Source organism: Homo sapiens, chromosome 5, assembly GCF_000001405.40.
Source record: "Homo sapiens chromosome 5, GRCh38.p14 Primary Assembly".
Taxonomy (NCBI): Eukaryota; Metazoa; Chordata; class Mammalia; order Primates; family Hominidae; genus Homo; species Homo sapiens.
In genome coordinates, this window is record NC_000005.10 from 40,466,037 (window position 1) to 40,486,419 (window position 20,383).

Sequence of the window (20,383 nt, forward strand, 5' to 3'; positions counted from 1 at the left end):
TGTATCTCTCTCTCTCTCCCTCTCTCTTTCTCTCTCTCTCTCTCTCACACACACACATTCATGCCTTCTCACACTTGATGATTAACAAAGATTGATAGACTCAATCAATAGTACTATTTCCCTAATAAATATAGGAGATTTTTTTCTCTATTTTATCACAAAATAACTCAAAAAATAGTGAAAAAAAATTATGAAAGGAATGAAGATGTTACACTAGAAACCACTTAATGCAAAAGAAAGTGGTAAAGCAGAAAAACAGGAACATAAAAGACATGAGACAAAGAAAATGAAGCATAAAATAGCAAATGTAAACCCAGTTATATGAACAATTGAATGAAATGTGAATGAATTAAAGAACTCAAAATCAGAGATTATTAGACTATATAAAAACAAGATCCAACTACATGCTATCTACAGAAGAACCTTGTCTAGGTTCAAAGACAAAATGTTAGAAGTAAAAGGATGTAAAATATATATATTGTGCAAACAGCAAACACAAGAAAGCTGGAGTAGTTACACTAATATTATTCCAAACAGACTTTAGAACAAAAATTAATTACTCAAAATAAAGATAGACATTTTATAATAATAAAATGGTCCATCCAGGAGAAAGTTATGAAATTGATAAACATACAGACATTTAACAACAGAGCTTCAAATTATATAAAGCAAAAGCTGATAAAATCAAGGAGAAATTAGGTGATTCAACAATAATAGCTATTTCTTTCTAGAAAAGTAGAAAAACTAGAGAGAAGATTTTAAAATAAATGGAAAATTTGAACATTATAAGAAACTAGACCTAACAAACATCTATAGAATGCTGTAAAGAACAGCAGCAGAATACACATTTTTTCTAAGCACACACAGAAATTTCTTCAGAATTCACCGTATGTTAGATGATAAAGCAAGTCTTGATAAACTTAAATGACTGAAATTATGCAAAATGCACACACCAACCATAATAGCATGTGATTAGAAACCAATAGCAAAAAGAAATTTGGAAAACTTGTGAATATGAGGAAATTAACATCTTTCTGAATAGTCAGTGGCTCAAAGTTAAAAATCACAATAGAAATTTTAAAATCTTTGAGATGAATGAAAATAAAAGCATGACATCAAAATTTATGGGACACTGCTAACGCAGGACTTAGAGAAAAATTTATAGATGGAAATGCCTATATTTAAAAAGTGGGACAATCTCAAAATCAGTAACCAAACCTTCACCTTAAAGCACTGAAAACAGAACAAGTCGAGCCCATTTAAGCAGAAGGAAGAAAATAATAAACTTTTGACTGGAAATTAAGGGGAACAGAAAAGCAAAAGAGAAAATAAATAAAACCAAAAATTTGTCCTCTGAAAGGATTAGAAAATATTGACAAACTTTTAGCTATACTGACTAAGAAAAAATAAGAGAAGACCCAAACTACTAAAATAAAAAATGAAAGAGGAAACATCATTGTCAACCTCACAAAATTTAAAAGAATTATAAAGAAATACTCTCAACTAATGACAACAAATTAAATAATTTAAGTCAAATGGACACAATTTTAGAAGTAAAACTGTCTCAGGAAAAAAAGAATTCTGAATGGACCTATAAAAAGTAAGGAAATTACATTAATAATTTTAAAACTTCCATAATGAAAACCTAAACACATATGGATTCACAGTTGAATTCTACTATTTAAAGAAGAATTAATATCAATTTTTTACAAATTGTTACAAAAAGGGAAAGGAAATATTTCCCAAATAATACTATATGTCCAGTGTTATCCTAATAACAAAACCAGACAAAAACATTACAAGAAAAGAAAAACACAGATCAATATATCCTATGTATATAAACTCAGAAATCTTCAACAAAATGCTGTCATATCAAATCCAGCAACATATAAAAAGGATTATACACCATGATCAAGAGAATTTATCCCCAGAATGAAAGATTAGTTTAACATACTTCTTATCAATAAAATAAAGAACAAACTTACATGACCATCTTAGTAAATGCAGAAAAAGCATTTGACAAAATTTAACCTACTTTCCCTTTTAAAAAACTCAACACACTGAATAGAAGAAACCTCATCAACCTCCTAAAAGGCATCTATGAAGAAAACACACACACACACACAGTACTGGAGGCTTTAACTAGGGAAAATAGGCAAGCAAAAGAAATAAAAGGCATTTAAATTGGAAAGGAAGAAGTAAATCTCTGCAGATGGAATGGTCTTACATGTAGAAAATCCTAAGAAATCCATTAAAGAACTATTGTAGCTAATGCATAAGCTGATAACTCTCCATGGTATGAGATCAAGATACAAAAATCAAAGTATTTCTATACATTAACAATGAACAATCAAAAATGAAGTTAACCATTCCAATTACAATAATAATAAACATAATACAATATTTAGGATAAACTTTAAAAAAGTTTAAAACTTATACTCTGAAAATCCCAAAACACTATTGAAAGAAAAATTTTAAAGATCTAAATAAATGTGAAAGATCTAAATAAATGAATGGAAAGGCTTAACAATCTTTGAGATGGTAATGCTTCCCAAAATGTTCTACAAAATAAATGCAATCTCAGTCAAAATCTCAGCTGATATTTTGCAGAAATGTATAAGCATGTAATCAAATTCATATGCAAATTCAAGGAATCCAGTATAGCCAAGACAATTTTGTTTGGTTTTTTTTTTGGTTTTTTTATTATTTTATTATTATTATACTTTAAGTTTTAGGGTACATGTGCACAATGTGCAGGTTAGTTACATATGTATACATGTGCCATGCTGGTGTGCTGCACCCATTAACTCGTCATTTAGCATTAGATGTATCTCCTAATGCTATCCCTCCCCCCTACCCCCACCCCACAACAGTCCCCAGAGTGTGTTGTTCCCCTTCCTGTGTCCATGTGTTCTCATTGTTCAACTCCCACCTATGAGTGAGAACATGTGGTGTTTGGTTTTTTGTCCTTGCGATAGTTTACTGAGAATGATGGTTTCCAATTTCATCCATGTCCCTACAAAGGACATGAACTCATCCTTTTTTATGGCTGCATAGTATTCCATGGTGTATATGTGCCACATTTTCTTAATCCAGTCTATCATTGTTGGACATTTGGGTTGGTTCAAAGTCTTTGCTATTGTGAATAGTGCCGCAATAAACATATGTGTGCATGTGTCTTTATAGCAGCATGATTTATAGTCCTTTGGGTATATACCCAGTAATGGGATGGCTGGGTCAAATGGTGTTTCTGGTTCTAGCTCCTTGAGGAATCGCCACACTGTCTTCCACAATGGTTGAACTAATTCACACTCCCACCAACAGTGTAAAAGTGTTCCTATTTCTCCACATCCTCTCCAGCACCTGTTGTTTCCTGACTTTTTAATGATCGCCATCCTAACTGCTGTGAGATGGTATCTCATTGCGGTTTTGATTTGCATTTCTCTGATGGCCAGTGATGATGAGCCTTTTTTCATGTGTCTTTTGGCTGCATAGATGTCTTCTTTTGAGAAGTGTCTGTTCATATCCTTCACCCACTTTTTGATGGGGTTGTTTGTTTTTTTCTTGTAAATTTGTTTGAGTTCATTGTAGATTCTGGATATTAGCCCTTTGTCAGATGAGTAGGTTGCAAAAATTTACTCCCATTCTGTAGGTTGTCTGTTCACTCTGATGGTAGTTTCTTTTGCTGTGCAGGAGCTCTTTAGTTTAATTAGATTCCATTGGTCAATTTAGGCTTTTGTTGCCATTGCTTTTGGTGCTTTTAGACATGAAGTCCTTGCCCATGCCTATGTCCTGAATGGTATTGCCTAGGTTTTCTTCTAGGGTTTTTATGGTTTTAGGTCTAACATTTCAGTCTTTATCCCTCTTGAATTAATTTTTGTATAAGGTGTAGGGAAAGGATCCAGTTTCAGCTTTCTACATATGTCTAGCCAGTTTCCCCAACACCACTTATTAAGTAGAAAATCCTTTCCCCATTTCTTGTTTTTGTCAGGTTTGTCAAATATCAGATAGTTGTAGATGTGTGATGTTATTTCGGAGGCCTCTATTCTGTCCATTGGTGTATATATCTGTTTTAGTGCCAGTACTATGATGTTCGGTTACTGTAGTCTTGTGGTAAAGTTTGAAGTCAGGTAGTGTGATGCCTCCAGCTTTGTTCTTTTTGCTTAGGATTGTCTTGGCAACGTGGGCTCTTTTTTGGTTCCATATGAACTTTAAAGCAGTTTTTTCCAATTCTGTGAAGAAAGTGAATGGTAGCTTGATGGGGATGGCATTGAATCTATAAATTACCTTGGGCAGTATGGCCATTTTCATGATACTAACTCTTCCTGTTCAAGACCATGGAATGTTCATCCATTTCTTTGTGTCCTCTTTTATGTCATTGAGCAGTGGTTTGTAGTTCTCCTTGAAGAGGTCCCTCACATCCCTTGTAAGTTGGATTCGTAGGTATTTTATTCCCTTTGTAGCAATTGTAAATGAGAGATTACTCATGATTTGGCTGTTTGTCTGTTATTGGTGTATAGGAATGCTTGTGATTTTTGCACATCGATTTTCTATCCTGAGACCTTTGCTGAAGTTGCTTATCAGCTTAAGGAGATTTTGGGCTGAAACAATGGGGTTTTCTAAATATACAATCATGTCATCTGCAAACAGGGACAATTTGACTTCCTCTTTTCCTAGTTGAATACCCTTTATTTCTTTCTCTTGCCTGATTGCCTTGGCCAGAATTTCCAACACTATGTTGAATAGGAGTGGTGAGACAGGGCATCCTTGTCCTGTGCTGGCTTTCAAAGGGAATGCTTCCAGTTTTTGCCCATACAATATGATATTGGCTGTGGGATTGTCATAAATAGCTCTTATTATTTTGAGATACGTTCCATCAATACTTAGTTTATTGAGACTTTTTAACATGAAGGGCTGTTGAATTTTGTCAAAGGCCTTTTCTGCATCTATTGAGATATCGTGTGGTTTTTGTCATTGGTTCTGTTTATGTGGTGGTTAACATTTATTGATTTGCATATGTTGAATCAGCCTTGCATCCCAGAGATGAGGCCGACTTGATCGTGGTGGATAAGCTTTTTGATGTGCTGCTGGATTCGGTTTGCCAGTATTTTACTGAGGATTTTTGCATTGATGTTCATCAGGGATATTGGTCTAAAATTCTCTTTTTTTGTTGTGTCTCTGCCAGGTTTTGGCATCAGGATGATGCTGACCTCATAAAATGAGTTAGGGAGGATTCCCTCTTTTTCTATTGATCAGAGTAGTTTCAGAAGGAATGGTACCAGCTCCTCCTTGTACCTCTGGTAGAATTCGGCTGCGAATCCATCTGGTCCTGGACTTTTTTTGGTTGTTAGGCTATCAATTATTGCCTCAATTTCAGAGCCTGTTATTGATCTACTCAAAGAGTCAACTTCTTCCCGGTTTGGTCTTGGGAGGGTGTACGTGTACAGGAATTTATCCATTTCTTCTAGGTTTTCTAGTTCATTTGCATAGAGGTGTTTATAGTATTCTCTGATGGTAGTTTGTATTTCTGTGGGATCAGTGGTGATATTCCCTTTATCATTTTTTATTGTGTCTATTTGATTCTTCTCTCATTTCTTCTTTATTAGTCTTGCTAGTGGTCTATTTTGTTGATCTTTTCAAAAAACCAGCTCCTGGATTCATTGATTTTTTGAAGGGTTTTTGTGTCTCTATCTCCTTTCAGTTCTGCTCTAATCTTAGTTATTTCTTGCCTTCTGCTAGCTTTTGAATGTGTTTGCTCTTGCTTCTCTAGTTCTTTTAATTGTGATGTTGGGGTGTCGATTTTAGATCTTTTCTGCTCTCTCTTGTGGACATTTAGTGCTATAAATTTCCCTCTACACACTGCTTTAAATGTGTTCCAGAGATTCTGGTACGTTGTGTCTTTGTTCTCATTGGTTTCAAAGAACATTTTTATTTCTAGCTTCATTTCGTTATGTACCCAGTAGTCATTCTGGAGCAGGTTGTTCAGTTTCCATGTAGTTGAGTGGTTTTGAGTTGATGGTTTCTTAACGCTGAGTTCTAATTTGTTTGCGCTGTCGTCTGAGAGACAGTTTGTTCTGATTTCTGTTCTTTTACGTTTTCTGAGGAGTGCTTCACTTCCAATTATGTGGTCAATTTTAGAATAAGTGTGATGTGCTGCCGAGAAGAATGTATATTCTGTTGATTTGGGGTGTAGAGTTCTGTAGATGTCTATTAGGTCCACTTGGTGCAGAGCTGAGTTCAAGTCCTAGATATCCTTGTTAACCTTCTGTCTTATTGATCTGTCTAATATTGACAGTGGGGCATTAAAGTCTCCCATTATTATTGTGTGGGTATCTAAATCTCTTTGTAAGTCTCTAAGGACTAGCTTTATGAATCTGGGTGCTCCGGTATTGGTTGCATATATATTTAGGATAGTTAGCTCTTCTTGTTGAATTGATCCCTTTACCATTAGGTAGTGGCCTTCTTTGTGTCTTTTGATCTTTGTTGGTTTAAAGTCTCTTTTATCAGAGACTAGGATTGCAACCACTGCTTGTTTTTGCTTTTCATTTGCTTTGTAGGTCTTCCTCCATCTCTTTATTTTGAGCCTATATGCATCTCTGAACATGAGATGTGTCTCCTGAATACAGCACACTGAGGGGTCTTGACTGTTTATCCAATTTGCCAGTCTGTGTCTTTTAATTGGGGCATTTAGCCCATTTACATTTAAGGTTAATATTGTGTGAATTTGATCCTGTCATTATGATGTTAGCTGGCTATTTTGCACGTTAATTGATGCAGTTTCTTCATAGCATCAATGGTCTTCACCATTTGGCATGTTTTTGCAGTGGCTGGTACCAATTGTTCCTTTCCATGTTTAGTGCTTCCTGCAGGAGCTCCTGTAAGGCAGGCCTGGTGGTGACAAAATCTCTCCGCATTTCTTGTGGTGTAAAGGATTTTATTTCTCCTTCACTTATGAAACTTAGTTTGGTTAGATATGAGATTCTGGATTGAAAATTATTTTCTTTATGAAGGTTGAATACTGGCCCCAACTCTCTTCTGGCTTGTAGGGTTTCTGCCAAGAGATCCGCTGTAAGTCTGATGGGCTTCCCTTTGTGGGTAATCTGACCTTTCTCTCTGGCTGCCCTTAACATTTTTTCCTTCATTTCAACCTCGGTGAATCTGACAATTATGTGTCTTGGGGTTGCTCTTCTCGAGGAATATCTTTGTGGTGTTCTCTGTATTTCCCAAATTTGAACATTGGCCTGGCTTGCTATATTGGGGACGTTCTGGATAATATCCTGATGAGTGTTTTCCAACTTGGTTCCATTCTCCTCGCCACTTTCAGGTACACCAATCAAACGTAGATTTGGTCTTTTCACATAGTCCCATATTTCTTGGAGGCTTTGTTTTTTCTCTTTTTTTTTTTTTTTTTTTGCTCTTTTTTTCTCCAATCTTGTCTTCCTGCTTTATTTCATTCATTTGATCTTCACTCCCTGTATCCTTTCTTCCACTTGATCAAATCAGCTATTGAAGCTTATGCACACATCACAAAGTTCTCGTGCCATGGTTTTCAGCTCCGTCAGGTCATTTAAGGTCTTCTCTACACAGTTTATTCTAGTTAGTCATTCATCTAATCTTTTTTCAAGGTTTTTATCTTCCTTGTGATGGGTTCAAACATGCTTACTTAGCTCAGAGAAGTTTGTTATTACCGACCTTCTGAAACCTACTTCTGTCAGCTTGTCAAAGTCATTCTCTATCCAGCTTTGTTCCATTGCTGGCGAGGAGCTGCAATCCTTTGGAGGAGAAGAGGTTCTCTGGCTTTTAGAATTTTCAGCTTTTCTCCCCATCTTTGTGGTTTTATCTACTATCTTTGATGTTGGTGACCTAGAGATGAAGTTTTGGTGTGGATGTCCTTTTTGTTGATGTTGATGCTGTTCCTTTCTGTTTGTTAGTTTTCCTTCTAACAGTCAGGTCCCTCAACTGCAGGTCTGTTGGAGTTTGCTGGAGGTCCACTCCAGACCCTGTTTGCCTGGGTATCACCAGCAGAGGCTGAAGAGCAGCAAATATTGCAGAACAGCAAATATTGCTGCCTGATCCTTCCTCTGGAAGTTTTGTCCCAGAGAGGCACCTGCCTGTATGAGGTGTCTGTCGGTTACTACTGGGAGGTGTCTCCCAGTTAGGCTACATGGGGGTCAGGAACCCACTTGAGGAGGCAGTCTTTCCTTTTTCAGAGCTCAAACACCATGCTGGGAGAACCACTGCTCCCTTCAGAGCTGTCAGACAGGGATATTTAAGTCTGCAGAAGTTTCTGCTCCCTTTTGTTCAGCTATGCCCTGCCCCCAGAGGTGGAGTCTATAGAAGCAGCCTGCCTTGCTGAGCTGAGGTGGGCCCTGCCCAGTTTAAGCTTCCTGGCCATTTTATTTACCTACTGAAGCCTCAGCAATGGTGAATGCCCCTCCCCCAACAAGGCTGCCACCTCACAGGCTGATCTCAGACTGCTCCGCTAGCAGTGAGCAAGGCTCCTTGGGCTTGAGAACCACCAAGCCAGGCATGGGAGAGAATCTCCTGGTCTGGCAGTTGCTAAGACTGTGGGAAAAGTGCAGTGTTTGGGCGGAAGTGTACCAATTTTTCAGGTACAGTCTGTCACAGATTCCCTTGGCTAGGAAAGGGAAATCTCCCAACCCCTTGTGCTTCCCAGGTGAGGCAACACCCCACCCTACTTCAGCTCACCCTCTGTGGGCTGCACCCACTGTCCAACCAGTCTCAGTGAGCTGAACCAGGTACCTCTGTTGGAAATGCAGAAATCACCCATCTTCTGTATCGATCACACTGGGAGCTGCAGACCAGAGCTATTCCTATTCTGCTATCTTGGAATGGGAATTCTAAAATTCAGCAGCATAATTTCTAATAGCCAAAATTTGGAAACAACACAAACATCCATGAAGTGACCAACGAATAAACAAAGTGTGGTCTCTTAGTAAAATGGGATATTATTTGGCGATAAAAAGCAACAAATATACTGACACATGCTACAACACCAATAAACCTTAAAGTATTATGCTAAGTAAAAGAAGCAGACACAAAAAGCCATGTATTTTATTACTCTGCCTGAAATGTCCAGAATAGGAAAATTTGTTGGACACAAAAAGTAGAGAAGTTGTCTAGGGCTTGGGACAAAATGGGGTATGACTGCTAATTGGTATGGGCTTTGTTTGGGGGCAGATCAAAGTGTATGAAAATAGCTTGTGGTGATGATTTCACAACTCTGCTAACTTACTAAAAACTAGTGAGTTGTACATTTTAAATGACAATTATATTGTATGTGAATTATATCTCCATAAAGCTATGAGAGAAAGAGCTTTCAATGGCTTCTGTACCATGTCCAAATTGTTCTGCCAGTCTTTGAAACCCCTCCATACCACAGAATCAGATTTCATACTATGCCTTTCACCTTTCAAAATTATTTCCAACTGTATCAGTTTTCTATGACTGTGTGACAACCCACCCCCAAATTCAGCAACTTAAAACAATAAACATGTATTAATATTATCACACGAATTCTGTAGGTCAGAAATCTGAGAGTGGCTTAGCTGGGTCCTCTGGCTCAGGCACTTGATGTCTGCCAAGGCTGTAGTCATCTCAAGGCTTGACTCAGGCAATAAGTTCCAACTTCCAAGCTCACTCATGTGGCTGTTTCAACCCCTCAGATTCTAGCTGCTTGTTGGCTGAAGACATCAGTTCCTTGATACACGGCAGCTCATCACACATCAGCTAGCTTCCCTCAGAGAAAGCAATGGTGAAACAGAGTGAGTAAGATGGAAGTCAGAGTCTTTTGTAAGCTAATCTTGGAAATGGCATTTCATGGCATTTGCTGTGTTCTTTTCCTTAGAAGCTAGTCATTAGATCTGGACCACACACAGGAAGAGGCCATTGCACGACAGCATAAATACCATGAGGAGGGAGACAGATGGGGGCCATCACAGAAACTGCCTATCACCACACTGAACACCATCTGATCCAACCAGTCTGGTTCCCTCTCCATCTCACAAGCACATTTCTTGACCCTGTCGTAACTCTTAACTCACTTTATTCCTGGGCCTCTCTCCTTTACCGATCTGAAGTCAGACTCTCATTCAAGATGAGCTCAAATTCCATGTATTCCATGAAACTTGCCCCTGATTATACTTTATTCCTCTGAACTCCTTATGTTTCATAATTATACTACATAATTTACCCCTTAATTATCTCCTGCCTTGCCTTATTACGCAAAGTATGTCTCCCTTAACTGCATATGCTTCAACTGAGAGTTTGTAAGAAACACAGAATCTCCAGCTCCTAAACCAGAATCTGTGTTTTAACAAGACATGCAGGTGATTTTCATGCCCATGAAGGCATGGGAAGCACCACTGAATTGTACCATTCTCTATTGTTTCACCTGTGTAAGTCCCATATCCTTGACTAGGCTTGCGTGTATTTGGAGAACTGGTACCATTTTCTATATTTGTTCTGCTCTTAAACACACACACCCAAGCTTAGAATATAGGTTAGTGCTGACCACACAGTAGATCACAAATTCAAGCTACTAGAGAAGAAACACCTCTATGAACTGGCCAAATTCAGTAACAGGAATATAAAGATAAATCAAATCCCAGCTCTGCTACTCAACAGATAGTGTGACTTTGGGCAAGTCATTTAATTACTCTACATTTCCAATTCTTTATCTGAATTTAAAGGGGACTATCATGGAAGCTCCAATTTTCATTTTATTTCTGAATATCTACTAATCCACAATAACATTAGAATCAATATAGTTTGATATTGCTTAATAAATAAGAAAACATTCTGGAACCTTTTAGTGCCTAAATGTCATCAACATGAACATCAGTAATAACTGCATTGTAGATGTGAGAAAATGTTGCTTAGTCCAGGATTGTTTAGCAAAAAAACATAGAATTCTATATCCTGCATTTGATTTCCCTTATAATTTAGGCCATGTTGAATGTAAGTAAATTGTTAAAGAAGTTTAAAACAAATTTTTGCTGGATAACAACAAGAGTATGGCTAGAACAGGTGAAATCTCCCCTTTGCCACACTTTGGGAGTCACCCCTATGCTCCTCAGCTCTGCCTTGGAAAAGGAGCTTCTGGCTCTGTAAGAGTCAGATTAGAAACAAAGACTTTGCCTTCAAAAGAAAACTATGAATTTCCACCTGAGGTTCACCACCTTCTCCTGTAAAAGGAGGAGCTGGATTTGTTATACAGAGCAGCAGAACTAGGCTGAGTGAATAAAGAAATGGACATATACACAGGTGGTGCTTTTTGTTGTTGTTTTTAAGGTACTCAGTTTAATTTCTTCTTCTGCCTGTAAGGTCCAATCCCACCCACAGAGTTTAAATTGGCACTTCCCCTGAGGACCTGGACTCCAATTACATCTTATATTTTGATCTCTAAATCTCTTCAAGTTCAAGGACTTCACCTCCTCTCCAGGAATAAAGGGCTGTACTTCCCAGTCACCTCCCTCCCCGTCATGTTGTCCTTGCTTCAGCCTTCAGTCCTCTCTTCTGCAGCAAAGAATCCTAATTCCCTACCAGAATTCTTAAACATCAGTTTACTTTACACATTTCTTTTTTGGCTTCTTTACTGTTAGAACAAGCCCTGAGTGTGTAAAACTGTTCTCACTGTGATGACAAGGCTGTACTGAACAATTGGGGGCAAGAGAGCTGTGGTTCCAGCTGAGGGGGCTAAGTTATGGGACCATGCATGCCTCCACACTTATTTCTCTAAAATTCATCATAGCTCTGAACTTCATGCAGAACTCCTAGAAAAAAAAACACAGTCCAGCTACCTACTTTTAAATTTATGGACGAATGATGGTGGTGATGATGATGATAACAATAATAACACTAGTGCTGTTAGCCGCCTCTGAACAGAAGCATATTTTTGGTTTCTGTCCTCAGGCTCCAAAGTGGTTCACATGATGCAAACTGGCCGTGTAGTCAGCGTTTTGGCATTTTCATTTGATTTCTCTGCCCACTCTCCCCTGTTGGCACTGGCTGCACTTTGAAATGAATTTCTGTTCCTGTGCAAACAGGACCGCAAGAACAGTTACCAGACTTTGAGATCACTCAGGGCATGCAGGTTTCCAGAGATCATTATCCTAGAAGCACAATTCAAGAATAAATATGGGAGCTCAAAATCCACCTAAAGAAGAGAGAACTCTTGTACCCCTCTGGCAGATAATTTCTGCCCACAGCCAAATAATACTTTGGTAAAGTCATCCTGAAACTATTTCTTCTATCCGGCCAAACTCGGGCACTTGGACAGAAGCACCAGAGACATCACAGAGAAAAGAGATGCAATGGGAATAACACAGGACCAAGGACAGGGACCCGGGTTCTGGTCCCAGTTCCACCACTAACTTTAACACTGAGTGAGCCACTTCTCCCAAGTGCTTAGCTTTCTCTGTGAAAGATAATAGTTAGATACTACAGTTTCCAACTTGAACTTACCTAATCATCAGTATCTTGTAGGACATTTATTTTAAATACAGATTTTCAGACTGCTCCCTGCAGATGCTGGTTCAGTATGTTTAGCAGTTACTGAATACTAAGTTTAGTTAGTATTCAGGAGTTTGCATTTTAACAAGTGACCCAGGAAAGTCTTCACATAAGCAAGTTTAGGAAACACGGGCCACATGACATCAGAAAGCTCTTCCGGGTCTGCAGTTCTGCAGAATCAAGTTAATTAATGGCCACGATTAAGCTTCTACTCCCTACAAAGCTCTGCTAGATCCTAAAAATGATAGGAATGATAGCTAACATTTATGTAGTACTAGTCACTATTTTAAAGGCTTTGCATATATGAACTATTTTAATCTTCACAACAACCTTCTGAACCAGATACTATTATTATCCCTATTATAAGACACAGAAACAGATGCACAGAGATTAAGTGATTTTTCAAAGATGACTTGGCCACTAAGGAGGTAGGATTGGGATTCAAGCCAAGGCACCCCAGTTATAGAGCCTAGCCTCTCGACTGCTCTGCCCTGCCAAGCTTCAGCCTTCCTGTAGATGCTGAACAGCTCAGAACTCCTCAGCATCAGGCACTTGGTGGACAATAAGAAAAGCCCTCTAATAACTAATAACAGTACCTTAAGGTTATAGTCTGAATGTGTCCCCCAAAGTTGATGTGTTGGAAATGTAATGCCCAATGTAACAGTGTGGAGAAGCGGGACTCTAAGAGGTGACTAAGTCATGGTGACTCTGCCCTCATAAGTAGATTAATGCCATTATCACAAGAGTTGGTTAGTTATTGCTGGAGTGGGTTCCTGATAAAGAGGATGTGTCCACCCACTCTGCCACCCTTTGTGTGCTCTCTCACCCAACCCTTCTGCCATGAGATGATGCAGCAAGAAGGCCTTCACCAGATATGGGCCCCTTGACTTTAGACTTCCCAGCCTCCAGAACTGTAAGAAACAAATCTCTGTTCTTTATAAATTATCTAGTCTCAGGCATTCTGTTATAGGAACAGAAAGGTCTAAGACACTTAACAACCATCTACATCAACTAGATCAGTCTCAGGAGCCAGGGTGAGGGTACTAGGGAAGCCAAAAGGCAAACCCTAGACTTCACCCTTGTTTCAATCAAAGAAAACTGATTTTGTCTGTTTGGTACATGTCACATTTCATTTGAGAAAAAAAAATCTTGTGATTAAAAATGAGATGCTAGAAATCATTGATCTAGGCCCCTTTTATTATGTAGATGAGAAAACTGATCCCAAAAGATAAAGAAACTTTTCCAGATTCCAGGAACAAGAAGTCCTTGGCAATGGCTTCTAAAGCCCCAGGTTTCCAGACTCATTTCTACAGAATCAAAATGCACTTGTCAACCAGATGGACTTGATAAAAACCCATTAAAATTAACATAGATTAATAAAGTAACCACTGGAGAACTGCAGAAACTGGGGCAGCAGCATTTGAGAGGGGACATGCACAGTGACACCAAATGGAACAGAAGATGACTCAAATCAATGGCTGTGTCAGTATTCACAATTCTCTCCTCCAGTAACTGTAGCATCACCAAAAATCAGGGGGAAAAGCCCACCCAGCTTGTGTTGAAGTGGAAACATGACTACAAGTGGAGTAGGAGGACTTACTTATGAACTCTAGCTGTGCCATTTACTACCTGGGTCATGACGCTAGTGATTAGACAAGCCATCAATATGAGGCTTTCATGAAATCATATATGTCAGTAAGTCCACGACTGTGAAGATGTAGTAAACGTAATAATCTTTTAGACCAGAAGCTCCCACTCACAGTCTGGTATTACTGGCTTTACCTGTCATTACAATTCATGATGTTGAGAGGAAGGCTGATCATATAAATGGGGATCCAAACCCCTGGAAAATTTCCCTGAGCTCCCCCTTTTTTTGAACTTCTGTAGGCATGATGATAATCATAAAGAAATAATCTGCAATGGTTGGGCAGCAGCAAGCCCAGAAGATGAGCTGCCAGATAGATGCTGTGACCGTTATCAGTGATTCCATAAATGACTCAGTTTTGCCACCCAGGCACCACTCAGAGATCACCAGAGGTTTGAGGTTAACGAGTACCTTGGCACAGAACCTAGTGTTACTGATACTACACACTATTTTTTGCTCTCTTCTGCCACTGATTAGTAGATGAGGAGAGAGTTATGTCAGCCTCAAGTGCAGATTGCAAGAGGGAAGACACAGGAATATCAAAATAGTGCCATCACCCAAGGAAGAGGCTTCATTGCAAATCATGCTAATATGTGTATTCCCCCTGCTCGAGACTGAGAGCTCCTAGAAGGAACATCTGATAAAATATGTAAGTCCTTCCTCATCCATCCTGATTTCTCATCATTCGTTTTATTGACAAATGGATCAGGTGTTAAAATGTTTAAGGGTAATCGACAGAAAAAAAGTTAAAGTTAAAAAACTTCTATGACTAACCTGACCTGTTTCTGCCAACTGACAAAAGCCCACTTTTATTAGGCTTCAGCCTGATTAAGCTCAGGATGAATAATTACCATGTGCTGAGGGCTTACTGTGGGCCAGAGAGGTGCACTATCTCTGATCCCAACGACTACCTTGTAAGTTAGATATTATCACATTAATTTTACAGACAAGGCAACAGAGACTGAAAGAGTTTACTAGTCTAGTGTCCCAAAGCTAGTATGTGTCAAATTCAGGATTTGCCTCCAAACTCTGCAGACTGCAAACCTCTCCAGTTTGCAGGACCAGATTCAGACTTCTTCACTTGACCCAAAGGGGCCTTCAAGACCCAATCTGTTTGTAGCCTGAGGGCCTGCTATATTCCACATCCATCACATGTAGCCCTCACTACAGAATACCTTGCGGAGGCCTGCATGTATCACAGCGTGACTCACCTCCTTGCCTTCTCCCATGAAATCCCTTCTGCCTGGAGTTTTATTCTTCCTTCTTTATGCAGTTATATTCCAGTTGCTCTCAACACTCAGCTCAAACCACATTCTTCAAGAAGGTCATCTGTGATGTTCCTCAAGCTAATATAACTTCTGCTTTGTTGGACTCCCCATAGCAGCCTGGACAAATTTCTATGTAATCATTTATTAATTACATTTAACTACAGTTTATAATTTATTTTTATCTCCCTCACTAGGCATACACCAACTTGAGGGGAAAAAGACTTTATTTAATTTTTATTCTCAGGCTTAGCATAGTACTATATGAGTAGATACTCATTTACACAATAAATATTTGAGCAAATGAATGATCACAAAAGTGAATAAACTGATTAATTAACTTCCAGGACTATCTTAAAGGCTCAGTTAACTTAACCTCATGTGTTTATCCAAGTGTAATCCTTCTCCTCCACTGGGAACTCCTCGGTACAGAAGCCTCTCTTGTCTCTTTTATAATCTCTGGAACCTATTCGCCCGTGATTCAATAATGGCTGAATGACCCTCTGTCAACACTATCTCTGTTTGAATCAAGAACAATACTATATGACAATTAGATACCATGTAAAATGGACTTCTAATGGGTTTGAAATGTTAATGTATAAAAAAAGTACTACAAATAAAATGTAAGGTAACATATACATGTATACATATATATGCATATATACATGCATATATACATATGAGAATAGGAAAGGACTTACTAGCCATGACACAAATCTCAATAGCCAAAAGAGAAAAGACTCTTACTACACAAAAATGCAAAAACTTCTGAAGGGAAAAAAAAAAAACTCTATGCACCAAGTTTACACACAGCAAAATGAAGAAAATATATTCACATATATGACAATGGCCACAAAAATGTTAGCATTTTTGATACATACAGGGCACGTTCAAATAAGAGAAAAAACAAACAAACAAAAATTACACAAAGAGGAAATTTTCATATGAAGAAATGCAAATGACCAATACAACATGAAAGTGTCACATCACTAATTGGATTAAAGTATAAATTTAAACATCAGTGTCATATTTCTCACTAATTTTATAGAAATCACAAAGCACATGGGAAAATGGACCTATGAAGTTGGGGGCAATTTTAAAGTATATTTTTGAGGCCGGGCGCGGTGGCTTACACCTGTAATCCCAGCACTTCAGAAGACCAAGGCAGGTGGATCACCTGAGTTTAGGGGTTCGAGACCAGCCTGGCCCACATGATGATATTCCGTCTCTACTAAAAATACAAAAATTAGCTGGGCGTGATGGCAGGTGCCTGTAATTCCAGCTGCTTGGGAAGCTGAGGCAGGAGAATAGCTTGAACCTGTGAGGTGGAGGTGGGAGTGAGCAGAGATCACGCCATTGTACTCCAGCTTGGGTGACAGAACGAGACTCTGTCTCCAAAATAAATAAATAAATTGATAAATAAATAAATTAATTAAAGTATGTTTTTGGAGATAAGCAGTATGTTTTAAAATAAGGGCATATACTTGAAACAACTCTGGAAATTTATCATAAGAAATTCAGATAATACTTAAGCAACTAAACAAGGATGTTTATTGCTTATTGTTTAGATAATAGCAAAAAAAAACAAAATCGGATTTTCTATCAAGAGTGAATTCGTGTCTTTAATTACAGACAAATTATATGTCATATAAAGTTACATATTGAGAGATATCAATCTGTCTATATCTCATATCCACACATTATAATACCATGAAGTGTTTAAAATAAAGCAATAGTTAACAAGTGATCATGGAAAGATGTCTCTGAATTAAAGAATCTCAATAAATGACTTTGGTAGGCATAATTCCAAGACATCCTTCACAGTTCCCTGCCACCTGGTGTACATGTTTTGCCTAATCTCTAGGATTGTTAATATGATCAATTTTACCCCCAGGATTAGGTTATATCATGTGGCACAATCAACTTTAAGAAAGTTGACAGATTGTTACTGGCTAGAAAACTTAGAGAGCCACAAGGCAAGGAATATGGGTGGCCTCTAGGAGTTGCAAACATCTCTGGCTGACAGCCAGCAAATAAATGAAGACCTCATTCCTACAACCACAAGGAATTTAATTCTGCCAACAAACTGACTGAGTTTGGAAGCAAAATTTCCCCAGAGCCTCTAAATGAAAACTCAACCTGTTTGACATATTGAATTCAGCTTTGTAGGATCCCAAGCAGAGAATCCTGTCATGCCACCCTGCCAAACTTATAGAACTGTGAACCAATAAAGAGATGCTGTTTCAAGATGCAAGTTTGTGGTAGTTTATACACAGCAATAAAAAACTACTACAATGCCAACCAGAATAAATAAAAAGAAACCAATATCTAGATACTGCAGAACAAGAAAGAGAAATGAAAGATGTTTAAAGTAGCTAGAAAGCAAAGAAAAATTACCTACAAATAAATAAGAACTAAATTGAGAGTTGACTTCTCAACAGCAATAATGAAAAGCAGAAGACTGTGAAAGAATATTTTCAGTCTTCTGAGAGAAGATAACTCAGCCTGGTAATACATAGCCAGCCAAGCCATCCTTCAAGAATGACAGCGGAATAAAGATATTTTCAAGAAAAACTGAAAATTTTCAATACAAAGCTGAATATTTTCACCTAAGAGTCACTGATTAAAGAGTATATTCCAGGAAGAAGTGAAAATGATCCAAAAGAAAAATCTGAAACACAAGAAAGATTGGTGAGCAGAGAATGTGAGGAAATAATCTAAGTGAACAAAAATATGTGCCAAAATTTGAACACTGACTATATAAAATAATAATAGTAATGGGAGGGAATGATAAAAATCAGGCTAGTGATAAAATACTGGACAGTAATTATGTATAAACCAGGAGGCTGTGATTGGTAATTTGTGCTTAATTTTTGTAAAGTCTTTGCAATGTTATGAAAGAATATCTGAGGTCCAATTTTACTTGGCAATACATGGATATATAGAAGCTTTGCTTGATAGAGCAGCCCCTCAGATATAGTGAAGAAATCCTACAGATCAAAAAATATATATACCACAAACTGTAATGCTTACCAAAACAGGAAAAAAAGACAGATTATGGCAGGGGATTTTAAAGTCAGGAGAAAACTAATAACTTCCCTTTTTAAAGTTCACCTAATTGAAAGATGAAACAACAAAACGAAAACGCTTTTCTTGAGTTCACCCAACTCCTCAAAAGTGAAGTAGTAACCACCATCCCAGATCAGAGAACTGACATCATAAACCTTCAAGCCAACTCAGGTTTCATCTACCCTGCCCTACAGAATTAGACATGTGTGTGTGGATGGTGATGGTTCCTTACATAGTTTTTATCTCCCAACATTCACCAAAACTGTGTGAATCTCTCTGAAGAGGCACTAGAAACCTCTTGTGAACTAGTATTTCTCAAATTGGGATGTGAGAGATTGCAGTTTCCTCGGGAAGTAGACATCCAAACTGAGATGCTCTGGCTTTACCAACTATCAAAGTTGATACAAATGATTTTTTTTATACAGACCCCTCGAACGACCAAATAAATCATCTGCTCTCTCAACCAGAAACAAATAATCTAAGTGAACAAAAATACCTGGTTGAAATAAGTTTAGTGCAGGGTTATATTCTGCACCTTAAAATTGTGTTTCTGAGAGATATTCCTCATTGATTCATAAATTCGTCAACTTTGTACTGTTCAGGGTATCTGGATTAAGCATAAGCTTTGGAGTCAGACAGCCTGAATTTCAAAATCAGCCTCATAACTTACGTAACTATTTCTTAGCCCCACTTAGCCTCGGTTTCATCATCTATAAAGTAGCAATAATAACACCTGTCACACACAGCTATTTTAGAAATAAGTAAGATTTCAGAAATCGATTTCAGAAAGAGCTGGCACCAAGGAAGCAATCAATCAGTGTCAGCTATGAGTATTGATAACACTAATGGAGGCTGCATCTGTGTGACTAATCTGTACCAGGGGTTTAAATATCACTAACATTGGACTTTGGAATGCATAGACACATAAAATGTTGGAGTTTGCGGAGGCTTAAAGTTCACCCGTTCCAATTCTCATTTTCTGTGAGGATTTGAAACCCAGACAGACTCAGGAACTCGTACAAAGTCACACAGCCAGTATAAGGAACTGAAATCTGACCCTCAGCCACTGAGCACCAATAACACTATTTCTTCTGTGTCACAGCTCATGTGTCTTCTTTTTTAATCTTACCAGCAAATAATTTGTGAGGTTAATAAAAATTAAAATTGAAATACTTTTCATTGAGCACACCCCAGTGAAACGGAAGGAACAAGGGAACATGGGGTCTGGCCAAAGAGAAACCAAGTTTGAGGAAGAACGTGTTTGGCCTTCCTAAATATAGTTCACCATAATGCCAAGCAAAGGAAAACAAAGAGGCAAAAGATTATAGGCTCATTCTGATATCTCGTAGGCCTATTTATTAAGTACATGATCAATTTCATGGACAAATAATCTTATGTTTTTAGCAATTGTATTTTCTGGCCAAAAATTCTGGAAACTTGTGCTGACAATGAGATGAAATATTTTAAATGCCTATTATCTTTAAAAATTCAGGTTACAAAATTTAATCTACCAACCATTTCTATCACTGTATCTTGTTTTGACCCCACCCCCATTCCCCATTGGAGAGATATTTCTGAAAAGTGATTTATGGGAGCTGGCCTTATTTCCATTGCTTTAACTACCTTGGAGCCCTATCTTCTTTGTATTCTCTAAAATGACTGCCCTTTCTGCACAGTCACTAAATACCTATTGAGTAGCCCATGGTGTCCTTCTGATGACCATCTGATGGGAAAACTTGGACATTTGTGCTCATTATGAACCATCTGCCCTTGAGTCCAAATTTAGAATATACTAATTTTTAAATTGTATTTTTCAACCCCTATAGCTGGTGTAGGTTGAATTCAGCAAAGAATTTTTCTATTCTGTCTT